This window comes from Homo sapiens, chromosome 2 (genome assembly GCF_000001405.40).
Source record: "Homo sapiens chromosome 2, GRCh38.p14 Primary Assembly".
Taxonomy (NCBI): domain Eukaryota; kingdom Metazoa; phylum Chordata; class Mammalia; order Primates; family Hominidae; genus Homo; species Homo sapiens.
Window position 1 is genome coordinate 105,853,741 of NC_000002.12, and position 12,463 is coordinate 105,866,203.

A 12,463-nucleotide genomic window follows, 5' to 3' on the forward strand; every position below is an offset into this window, starting at 1 on the left:
GACAACAAGGAAGAGTGGGCATTTATAGGCAAGGAGCAAAATAAGGGAGTTGGTGGGTGGAAAATTACTAAGAGGAAACATCAGGGGTGGAGCGTGGGGATTCTGGCTAAACTGACCGAACAGGATTCTTCTGAAGGCAGGACAGGGTGATCAGCTGTCACCTGGGGGATGGTAGAGGATGAGGAACCTGATCAGATGTTGAGAGTGGAGGATTCCAGCTAGAGCACCTTAGCAGGAGAGTCTTGCAAAAATTGGGCAATGCAGAGATGGACACGGAAGTGCAAAAGTTGAGGCCTTAAAGGGAAGAAGATTCAAAGGAATTTGGCTGAAGTTTGGTTAAGGATAAACTGTCAGAATCACACAGTGTGTAGCCTTTTCAGATTGGCTTCTTTCACCTAGCAATATGCGTTTAAGGTTCCGCTATGTCTTTTCATGGCTTGATAGCTCATTTCTTTTTGGTACTGAATAATATTTCATTGTCTGGATATACCACAGTTTATGTATCTATAAACTGTGTCCTACTAAAGGACATTTTGCTTGCTTCCAAATTTGAGCAATTATGAATAAAGCTGCTACAGACGTCTCTGCACAGGTTTTTGTGTGAATGAAAGTTTTGGGGAATAATTTTATATTTATAAAAAAGTTCCCAGTATAGTACAGAACTTTCCCTTATACCCTTTACCTGGTTTCTCATTGTGTTAACATCTTATGTGAATGCAGTAACATCTTACTGGTGTGTTGTCCAAACTAAGAGATTGACAATTATTTATTGTTATTATTATTCTTAGACTTTATTTTGATTTCACCAGTATTTCCATTAATTTTCTTTTTCTGTTTCATGATCCAATCCAGGATACCACCTTGTTATTAGTACAATGTTAATTTTAATTTATAGGAGTAGTTTGGTTATGTTGACTTATTAAATATGTTTATAAGACACAGCATATCCTGAGAAAATGAGTGTCAACCTAACAGTTATCAGGAGGCAGTGTTACTTAATGAAATGGACTCATTTAATTATAATGTTATTTAGAATTTTTTTCAAGTTTGTTTTTGTTAGAGGGTCAGATTTCCCCATGTACAGCAAACAGTAACATAAGATTTGTTTTATAAGGTTGCTGTTTCTAAACCAAATACTAAAGCTTGTTGAAAGAAGGTCATTTTAAAGTTGAGCATTTCAAGACCCAGGAGAAAACTGGTTGCAGAGTTGTAATAAAAGCTGTCAGTGCCTAATTTTTCAAGTTGGTGCAAAGGATGAAGTGTCCGGGTAGTTCTCTAATGAGCATCTCCAAATGTTTTGCTGGCAGAAGGACTCCATGAAAGATGACAGAAGAAGTTATTGTGATAGCCAAGTGGGACTACACCGCCCAGCAGGACCAGGAGCTGGACATCAAGAAGAACGAGCGGCTGTGGTTGCTGGACGACTCCAAGACGTGGTGGCGGGTGAGGAACGCGGCCAACAGGACGGGCTATGTACCGTCCAACTACGTGGAGCGGAAGAACAGCCTGAAGAAGGGCTCCCTCGTGAAGAACCTGAAGGACACACTAGGTGAGTGTTTCACCCTCGAGAGAGGAAGCCTTGTGCATTTCAAGGGACACTGTTCGTCTTTCTAGTTAGTTTGCTGTTTCAAAAAAAAAAAAGTCTGTTTTAAAAGTTAATATCTTCCTAGTTGTCTTTTTTAATAATCTAAGAATTAAGAGATGAAGATGGAGAAAGAGGATGTTTTTCATTTCCTGGAGATTCTGGAGTTTGGGGTCCTGTGTATGGAGACACTTTGTGTGCTTGGGACCCCTGCACAGGTATCTCCTTGTATCAAAACGTTAGAGGAGCCTGACTTGGAATTCTCACCTCTAAGTCTACCCAGCTCTGCCAGTGTCGTGACATGAAGTTCTTTCTCTCTTATACAATCCTGTCCATTTGGCCTACGTGCCTAGAGCAGGGGACAGCCAAAGCACTTTTTCCCTCTCTGAAATGGATGCTACATCACACCACAGTCCTGGGTGCCGTTAGCTAAGAGGGCAGCTTTGTGACATCAGAGGCCGCTCCATGGTGGGGGCCTAGTTCAGCCATACTGTTGTCCCCATGTGCCTCTTTTTTTTTTTTTTTTTTTTGAGACGGAGTCTCACACTCTTGCCCAGGCTGGAGTGCAGTGGCACGATCTTGCCTCACTGCAAGCTCCACCTCCTGGGTTCACACCATTCTCCTGCCTCAGCCTCCCGAGTAGCTGGGACTACAGGCACCCACCACCACATCCGGCTAATTTTTTGTATTTTTAGTAGAGATGGGGTTTCACTGTGTTAGCCAGGATGATCTCGATCTCTTGACCTTGTGATCCGCCCACCTTGGCCTCCCAAAGTGCTGGGATTACAGGCGTGAGCCACCGTGCCCGGCTCCCCATGTGCCTCTTGTTTTCCCAGGTGTTGTCAGGTTATGGGCAGTGCCCTCCTGGAGTTACACAAAGTTAACAGTATCCAGTCTTGCCTTTACATGCACACGGAACTGACTTACAGTATTTACTGCCTCAGATTACCTGAGAAAATAATTGCGAGGACTTTTTTGAAGAATGACTCATCTGAGCTGACATTTAAAACGTTGTTACCTTCTTATGAGTATAATGTTGTCTGTATCCAAGACTGCAGGTTATCACTTAAGGGTTTGCTAGTGAAATGAGTTAATATTATCACCTGTGTCACATTTACTTGGGGTTTTAAAAAAATTTCTAACAAGAGGATTTGTTTTCTTTTGGGGAATGGAGAATGAGGAATACGTAGGAAAACTGAAAGTAAAATTATACACCAAATGTGGTGGGTGTTGCAAAATGTTCATCTTTTCTTTTCTGCCATGTTGAAAAGTCTAAACTCCCTCTGCAAAATCATCGAAAGCCTTCATGTATTAGGTAGTATTTTTGTGTATGGATTAGGTTCTTACCATGATTTGGAGAGATAAGTGAGACATGGAACTTCGTATGAATCATACCAGCTCACTGGCCATCGTAGATTCTCAGCCTGATGGAGAAATTTCATTTTTGATTAGCAATATGCTCCTTCTCCACTGAGCTGCCTCCCTTTCATCTTTTCTTCCCCCACATAAGCATGCCACTTGAAAGAAACACTGTTTTATGCTTATAACTCTTAATTAACTGTGGTTACCAAAAAAAGAGGGTAGCATGAATAGAGAAAAACTTGAAGGTTGTCCTGAGCTTTATTTTTCCAATTTCTACCTTTCACCAAAGTACCATCTTTTTAGTGATGCCAAACATTGTTACGTTGTTGACTTGTTGTGTGTCTTCTTTTTTTTTTTTTTTTTTTGTATTTACAAGATTCTAGTAAAGCATGAAGTGCTTAGAGACTTGTAGGAAGTAGAACAAGGCAAGGCGAGTTCTCTGGGTGACCTGGAAATTCCCTTGAAAACCTTGTCAGTTTTCTTCCTCAGTTTTCTAGAAGCAGAAAAGACAAAGCCACAAATTAAAACTATGAACCACATCTTCCGCCCAGCATGCTTAGTTTTTTCATGAGCTGTGATCGGTTCAGCCAATGCGTGTACTCCCAGGCTCTCAGACTGAGCCAGCCGCCCGTCCTGGAGCCGGCACTGGGCCCGCGCCCGTCCCCGACAGATGGCCATCCAGCCCTGCTGGAGCGCAGCGTCGGTTCGAGTAGGCCAATCCCATTTTTGGCGAAAACAGATTGTTAGAAAGCTCTTCCTTAAATAGAATCAGATTTTTACATTTCTTTAACTTTCTTCCTTCCTTTGGCTCTTATTCTGCCCTCTAGGCCTGTGCTGAGTAGGTCAGATCCTCTTCTGTAGAGTGTCAGCCCTCCCATAGGCTTGGTCTCAGTTCAGGCAAGCAGTTCTTGGGAAACATTCCTGTTAAGCATTAGCTATTGTAAAAATACAGAAAAAATGATGTTCTGAACCCCTTTATTGAGTATAGCAGTTGATCTTCATAGCCAAAAGGCCCTTGGGGATCAGTATCCCCGTCATGAGGGAGAAATATCCCCATGGTTAGTATATATTTTTTGTTTTGATCTCTTTATCATGCTCACCTGGAGGTTTTTGTTGGACAAAGGGATGTTGTTATCTCAGCATGAGTTTTCCCTTGCCCTGTTGAGCTGCATCCAGTGGAAGAGGAGGCACCCCCGATCAGGTCTCACCATCATGCAGTAACTTCTGTGCACTTCTGTGCAAAGCTTATAGATGTGGCGTTGCCAAGAAGGAAAGTGAGAATGCTTTCCATAGCCCCTCCTGCCTCTCATTAGTTGCATTTGTGTGTGTTTGTGTTTTGTTTTTTGTTCTTTGTTTTTTGGGGTTTTTTTTTTGTTTTTTTTTTTGCTAAAAAGATAGGAGCCAAAGTGTTCATGGCTTCCTATTACTGTTGGTGATGATAATTAAACAGGTATACCATCAGAATGACAGTATGACTTTAGGCCAATTGTGCAGCCTGCAGAAATTATCCCTGCTGTGTATTAGGCATGGAAACAGCATCAAAAGTACACCACATGTATACTGACCACGGTTTGTTTTTGTTTTTGTTTTTTGAGACAGGGCCTCACTCTGTTGCCTAGGCTGGAGTGCAGTGGCACAATCCCTGCTTACTGTAGTATTGACCTCAGGTGATCCTCCCACCTTAGCCTCCCGAGTATCTGGGACTACGGGCATGCACTACCACACCCAGCTATTTTGTATTTTTTATAGAGACAGGATTTTGCCATGTTGCCTGGGCTGATCTTTAACTCCTGGGATCAATCTAGTAACTCATGGCACCACCCACATTTGCCATTTTTACTGCTTTGGGAGTCCACCTAATTCATAAATCCATGGTAAGATTCCTTCCTGCTTTGGAATAAAATGGCACCGGCCTCCCCAGCAAAACCACAGTGTTGTGTATTGCATCTCCAACTGTAGATTACCCTAACTCTGTGTAGTTCTCTCCTGCTTTCTTGTACTCATTTGCTGTCCTGAAGTTGTTAATAAACTTAATTTTGTCACATACAGTACTTTGTTAAGAGTAGCTTGAGGAAAGACGTGAGAACCTTTGACAAAAAGCTCTCTCATGAAAGTATTTACCTGCTTTCTTTCTCTGCAATAATTTAAAATTGATAAAAGCAACCTGAGCTCTTATTTTCACATGGGCAAAACATTTGTATACTGGATCTCTTCTCATATTCAGCTTATGATCATGAATAGTCAGAACTTTGCCACAGATAACAGGGAACAATGATCAAGAACTGTTTCTGCTGGCAGAATCCAGTTGATGTTTTTGAAGGGCTCAGACTGCACAGCTCTGAGCTCAGTGGAGAGCGGTCCTGGGCTGAGGTCTGGCCTTAATACTGCAACTCCACTTAGAAAATTGTGCAGGCGAGGTGTTGTAAAAGCACTATGCTACATCTTTTGAGATGGGGAAGCTGCTCCCAGGGAGGTATTTTTCAAAGATTTTCCCTCAAGCTACTGAAGAGCAGTTTTTTGTTACTACTTTATGACACCAGCTGGAGCCTTGCAAAGCCCCAAAGGTTAATTCTCTTTTCGGTGGTTAACATAGGCTTAAGGGCTGACTCACATTACCCAAAAAGTTACGGTTCCATTTACAACCTGATCATATCCTCAGGAGGGTTTGTTCACAGGCCCACCTGCCCGTGGCTCACCCTGCCACCCTACCTACCTGGGACTTCTGCATCCAGCGTCACCTGCCCCAGGGCTCACTCCTCAGCATTCCTCCCAACAGGACCACACCTAGGCCTAGCGTGGTTAGAAACTTGCATGATCAGCCCCAGAACTCCTGCCTCTGATCCAACCCAGACCTGGGAGCACAGAGGCTACTGAGAGGGCTCCCTAATGCTAACTGTGAAACAGCCTTTGCACTGGTTTGAGCTGATGCTTTTGGATGGGGACAGGGTGGCTGGCACCCGTGGGTGAAATTGACAGGGTTCTGAGAGGCATATCCCTGCTAGGATCAACTTTGGAATTGAACTGATCAAAGTCACAAGGAGTACAGCTGTAGGATTGTTACGTAAGATCCAAAAGCAGTGAAAAGCAACACTTGGTGTTAGAATTAAGATTACAGTACTCTGGAGGGAGGGAGGCAGAGCCTCAGTGAAGGTACAGGGGCTTCTGTCTTGGTGATCTGCCCTGGGGTCTGTGGGGCAGGCTCACGGGCACACCTGCCTTGGAGGAGTTTGCAAAGCTGACTGCTTATTTCTGTTGGTATTATACTTTCGTTTTTAAGAAATTTATTTTAGAAAAATGTCAGTTCAAAACAACAATCAGGGCTGGGCACGATGGTTTATGCCTGTAATCCCAGTGCTTTGGGAGGCTGAGGTAGAAGGATCAGTTGAGGCCACGAATTTGAGACCAGCCTGGGGAACATAGCAAGACTTCATCTCTACAAAAAAATTTTTTAAAAAATAGAGCATGGTGTCATGTGCCTGTGGTCCCAGCTACTCAAGAGGCTCAGTTGGGAGGACTGCTTGAGTCCAGAAGTTGGAGGCTGCAGTGAGCAGTGATTGCAACACTGCACTCCAGCCTGGGCCACAGAGTGAGACCCTGTCTCAAAAAATGAGCCATAAAAAAACAAAAACAACCATCAGAACAACAAAATGTCAGAACTTTTAGAGTTCCTGCATCCACAAGGGGACCCTACCCACCAAGTGCCAGCCTCCGTCCCAGAGGTCAGGATGGACAGAGCCCCTGCTCTGGTGTAGTGTGTATGTTCCACACAGGCTCAGGGACCTGCTAAGCCGTAGGCGTCTCAGAATGAGGAGGGGCATCGCATTGCTGGAGTGAAGTTCACAGCGGGGCATGGAGGATGAGCGAGCATGTAGTCAGAACCGCATGGGGAGGCCTTACTGGGCTGTGCACAGGACTCAAGCATCTCCACTGGGTGATCACAAACAGTTGAAGATTTGAGCAGGGGCATCCCATGTTCCTCTGCAGAGCTGGGGAGGAATTGGGGATGAAGAAACGTGGAAAGCTCAGAGAGGAGAACACACTGGTCCATAGAGAGCCGTGGATGCCGGCGGCGCTGTAATGGAGATGGAGGAGTGTAGATCCATGCCCCGCCCGCCTGTGCATTTACCAGGATTGCCTCTCATGCTTGGATTAACCATTCCTTGCGACTGCAACTTGTGGGGCACACGAGATGGGGAATTTTCTCTCTACTTCTTCCAAGTTTCCACTCAGTGAAGCCGTGGATGGAGCCCCAAGGGCACTATTGCTACACTGGAGGAACCCAAGGTCGTTGTGGATCCCGAAAGAAGGGACTTGGGGCAGGTGGCTTAGGAGAGTCAAACCTGGTGTGGAAACCCTCCAGGCAGCAGTGAAGGTAACAATTGTTTACGGAAAACTATCAACCATTTTCTAAATTGAGTTCTTGTGAAAGTAAAATATAGATATGCCTTTACTAGGGAGAAGAGAGCAATTTGAATTACATTCTTCAGTTACTTTTTACACCTTTATGGAGTCTGATTTTAGATTTTAAGTGGACTAACAAATTCCTCATTATGTAAAAAATAAATATCTGCCTGGTTTTAACAATAGATGCCCTTACAACATTTTTAAAGCATTAAGATCATGCACGATCTTTAAAGACAGTGTATACAGACGTCACATGTCTTGTGAAAGGAAGTCTGGCTCGTGCACCAGGTTCTGACCACCTCTCTATGGGGAAGGAAGCCCACATTAGGTGCTGTGTGCTGGATCCAGGAGCCAAGTCGCTTTCCTTCTGGTATAGCTACCTGCTGAAAGTGATAGTGGCTATTGGTGCCGTTGAGGTTTTTCTCTTTTTTTTTTTTTTTTTTTGAGACGGTGTCTTGCTCTGTCACCTAGGCTGGAGTGCAGTGGCACAATCTCGGCTCACTGCAACCTCCACCTCCCAGGTTCAAGCGATTCTCCTGCTTCAGCCTCCCTAGTAGCTGGGACTACAGGTGTGTATCACCACACCCAGCTAATTTTTGTATTTTTAGTACAGATGGGGTTTTACCATGTTGGCCAGGCTGGTCTCGAACTCCTGACCTCAAATAATCCACCTCCCTCAGCCTCCCAAAGTCCTGGGATTATAGGCATGAGCCACCGCACCCGGCCAGTTTCTCTCATTTTAAAGCACACCAAGTCTTACCACAAGAATCATGCTCAGCAATTTATCTTAAGATCAGACTGGCCTGGAATTCTTTCCTCCCTCCCTCCCTCCCTCCCTCCCTCCCTCCTGCCCGCTCCCCCCTTCCCTTTCTTCCACCTGCATAATGGCTACAAGAAGTAGCAGGTGGGGATCAGGGTAACTGGCTGTAAACTGCAACCAGGGAAGGCAGCCCTGCCCCGGGTAACTAAAGGCCCTTTAGTTAGGGTTAGCCTGCATAAATACATGTAATGAGAGCAGCAACAGCTTGCAATTTATACAGCACTTTGCAATTTACCAGGCGGCTTAACACTTACAGGCATTTTTTTATATCAGTGGTAAAGACTCTAGAATTATGTCTAGGAAGAATTAGAGGGCTTCAGACTAGTGGGAAGGGGGTCGGTCTTGAGCCTGTGCTTCATACTAAGCATGCTGATTTTACTTAGATCAAAAGACCCAGGTTAGTCGAGTAGTCAAGCAAGATTTTAGTTACATGGTACATAAATTTATGAAAATGTCCAGTTCATATGAAAATATGTAATAGCACCCCAGGCCAGCCTCAGTAGTGTTACTAATCACAGATGAAAAAATGAAGCCTGAGAACACAGCAGTCACAGGTACGAGACCCAGAGGGGACTTCAGATCTAATCTGAATTATTTTTCCTCTACCAAATTGACTATCTGGATTTAGTGGTAGGCCGCTTTGTACGTTTGGGGGGACTCTGTCCCAGAGTCAGAATTATACCAAGTTCTTTGTTTTAGAAATGAGAAACCTCGGGAGTAACTAGCAAGCCTTGAAGGGGTTCAAGGGTGAGGTGATAGTCATGTATTGATATAAATTTACTGATTTTGATGAATGCCCTTATTTGTGGAAATACACATAAAGTATTCGGGTAATGGAACATCGTCTTGGCAGCTTAGTCTCAAATGGCTTGGGGAAAATAATGTTTTTTGCGCCGTTTTTGTAATTTTCCTGTGCACTAAAAGAAGCAGACATATCAGCAGTGGTTTAGAGACTACCCTAGGCCGTAAAGGTAGCTGGGAGTCTGGAGACTTGGGCTCCCCTGCTGTGCCTGGGCAGTGCCCTAAGTTTGGCATAAGCCTTTAAGAGGCCAGAAAGAATCATCGAGTATCTGCTGCAGTTGGACTTAGAACATGAGAATAATACCAGATGTCAACGTGCCCAGCTGATGCTTCACAGAATGGTTCTAACAGTACATGATTCAGAACTTTCTCTAATTATTCATCATATCTATATCCCCAGCATGCAAGTGAAAACCATCTCTGCTTCTTGCTGGGTCACCCCAGGCTGTTTTGAGCTCCTGGGCTCACAGCCTCTGTGATTGCTGGGAAATCGGAAATTCTCATTTCGGCATTATAGGATTGTGGGTCTGTCATCGTGATTATAAATATTCTCACAGGTCTCAACAAGGGCAGAGCTGTTCATCTCTGAAATGAAATGTGGGTAACAAATGCAGCAGCCTGGTTCTCGTGGAAGCCGAGTCTAAGCTTCAGTTGTCCCTTTCTCTATCCCTTGGAAATCCCGTCTGAGCCACTGCATTCTCTGCTGTGAGTGACCTTTGAGAACAGTAACCAAAGGCTTTGAAACAGGGATGCAGACACGATGCAGCAACCCCAACAGTGTAATAGGGTGTGTTCCGATCAGAAGGGGGAGCCTGGTCAGATGTTATTTCATCTGGTCGGGATGTGAAGGAAGGATAAGGCTTAGTCCCTGACTTTCTGAAGCTTGTATTTGTAATATAATCGGGAAAATAATACTGGCACAAGATGGACAGTCCTCATTCAAACAATAGCACTGTCCCTTCCTGTCCAATGGGAAACTAGGGCTGAGTTATGCAGCTCGGGCACCTGTGCTTTCAGAGAGCATGTAGCATTGTGGGCAGGAGGGAGGACTCTGGAGTCTTCGATCACCTGCATTCAAATCCAGGCTTTGCCACCTACTGCTCTTAATCATTGAGTGACTTTGAACAAGCCGCTGAAGCTTCTGAGCCTCAGTTGCGTCGTCTGTATAACGGGATACGTGACTGCTTGTCTCATAAAGTTTTTGAGAACTGAAGGAAGTCATTCATGTGAAGAATACTCTGAGCTGGGTTGAGACTTGGCGAGGGGGGGTGGGGTCTCACTTGAGGGATGCAGAGTGCAAGTGAGGATGTGAAGACGGAAACCCATAGGTGTGGGGAAGGCCATCGGCGAGCCAGCCGGACTGGGGTGAGCAAGAGGGCTGGGGCAGCCTCTGGGGTGGGGCATGCCACACCGTAAAGGCCCTGGGTGTGAAAAAAGAACCCTCGGAGGTTTCCACAGGGCTTAAGGGGGAGATGAGTGCTGGGGTGTCCGGCAGGGGTCCTGATCCTTGTCTTCAGGACACGACTGGAAGGGCCTGAGCCTGGCAGTGGGAGGTGGGGGACGGGGCCTGAGAGTGACCCAGGGTGACATCCCAAGCCCTGAGCTCAGCTGTGGGGATGGAGGACAAAAGAGAAAAGGAAGATTTTGAAGGAAAACCCCTAGGACTCTGTTGACTGGATGGGGAACACCTCGGAGAAGTATTAGAATGACTCAAGAGTTTCCAGCCTGAAGGACCAACAGTGACCCAGAGAGTGGGGGAAGTAAGAGGAGACTGAGCCACGGTGCGTAGTGGAGTTTGAGGTTAGGGTGGGACGTCAGTAGGATGCAGAGAAGGCTGCAGGTGTGAATCTCAGGCTTGGGAGGTACACAGTTATCCTTATGACATACTTCTTTATGTCAGTGAATTTTCATTTTCAGATGTGTAAAGATAATGTAATCCAGGGCCTACCTCGGAGAGCTGGCACTTCTGAGGCAGCTGATTAGGTACCTCAGCCAGGCATTCAATTTCTCTCATGTTAAAGACTGGACCTGGCCTTCTCTTCTTTGTCCCTTTCACACATGAGTTTGGCCCTCCGAACCCACGGGAAAGATCTGTAACCTCTAGCTCACATGTGCATGTACACACACACACACACACACACACACACACACACACACACACACACGGTTCCCTGCAAATGGATGACTTTAGATGCAGTTAACACCATCCAAATAATACTAGAAAGAATAACACTGGAATAACACCATCCAAATAACACGAGTACCTTCAACTAAAAAGCGGTCACCAGAGCCCTCCCCAGCAGGAGGCCTCTTGGTAGCTGGTGTCAGGGCCGCAGGCTCCCTCAGCCAGCATCAGTGCTCCCTGACCTCCCTGCTGAGGAGTATGTGGCTTCCACCCTGAAGCCAAACAGAAAGCTCATGCAGTAGAAAAGCCTAAACCAAGTCCCCCAAACTAATCTCACAAGCGTTTTCCCAGCAAATGGGCCGTGATAATTATTTCTCCTCGAGTGCCTAAAGTGTGCTAGGTACCTGCCAGGTGCCCGAATATGTTTTTATTTCATCTTCACAGTAAGCCTACTAGGGAAATCATAATAGCCTCATTTTGCATGTGAGAAAACTGATACTCAGAAGTTAAGTGAGGTGCCCAAGAACACACAGTACGTGCTGGGACTGACATTTGAGCCCAGTGTGGCCTGACTCTGCCTCTTGTGATTGCTGTTCAGTCTCAGGAATTGGGGGTGCTGATTGGTGTGGGAGGGAGATGCAGTTCCTGCTAGGCATCAATACTGGCGACTCCCACCCACACGACTGTTGAGGTTATTTGCTGCCCTTGCGCTAGCCCCCAAAATGCTAAGGGAACAGTTCCCCAGTTCTGCCTGGACCCTAGGGATTCACGTCTTTGTAACTTTTCCTGGTTCCTTAATGTTGAGGTGAGCAAGAGCCATTAATCAAAATAACTGAGAAGCTGAGTGTCATAGGAGTATACTCCTTTTCCGTAATTGAGTTTAATCTGGGAGCAGTTTTGTCAGCACACATGTGCCGCTGCCGCATGAGTCATCTTCAGCATCTTTGTCATCAGTTTCTTTGTATGGCACAGTTTTCTGCAAACAGATATTCCTCAGAATCATAATCTCTGAAATGCCTGAGTTTTATAAAACTATTAATCAGTTGTCTTCACTCTTAAAGACAGAGATATTATTATTATTATTATTATTATTATTTGAGACAGAGTTTCATTCTTGTTGCCCAGGCTGAAGTGCAATGGCAATATCTTGGCTCACCGCAACCTCCGCCTACCAGGTTCGAGCAATTTTCCTGACTCAGCTTCCCAAGTAGCTGGGATTACAGGCATGCGCCGCCACACCCAGTTGATTTTGTATTTTTAGTAGAGACAAGGTTTCTCCATGTTGGCCAGGCTGGTCTCGAACTCCTGACCTCAGGTGATCCACCCACCTTGGCCTCCCAAAGTGCCGGGATTACAGGCGTGAGCCACC

General features: G+C 45.4%; 1 protein-coding gene across 14 annotated transcripts in view; it reads left to right on the forward strand.

Annotated features, from left to right (window-relative positions):
- NCK2 (NCK adaptor protein 2) overlaps positions 1–12,463 on the forward strand; it is a 149,820-nt gene that overhangs the window by 109,288 nt on the left and 28,069 nt on the right. For 12 of the 14 annotated variants that reach the window (XM_017005105.2, XM_017005103.2, NM_003581.5 and 9 more), the window contains one exon: positions 1,308–1,549. In XM_017005105.2, coding sequence (XP_016860594.1) covers positions 1,324–1,549 — 226 coding nt within the window. In that variant the 5' untranslated portion in view covers positions 1,308–1,323. The remainder of the gene's footprint in view (positions 1–1,307; positions 1,550–12,463) is intronic. The other 2 variants (XM_011511991.4, XM_047446021.1) reach the window with 1 other exon arrangement.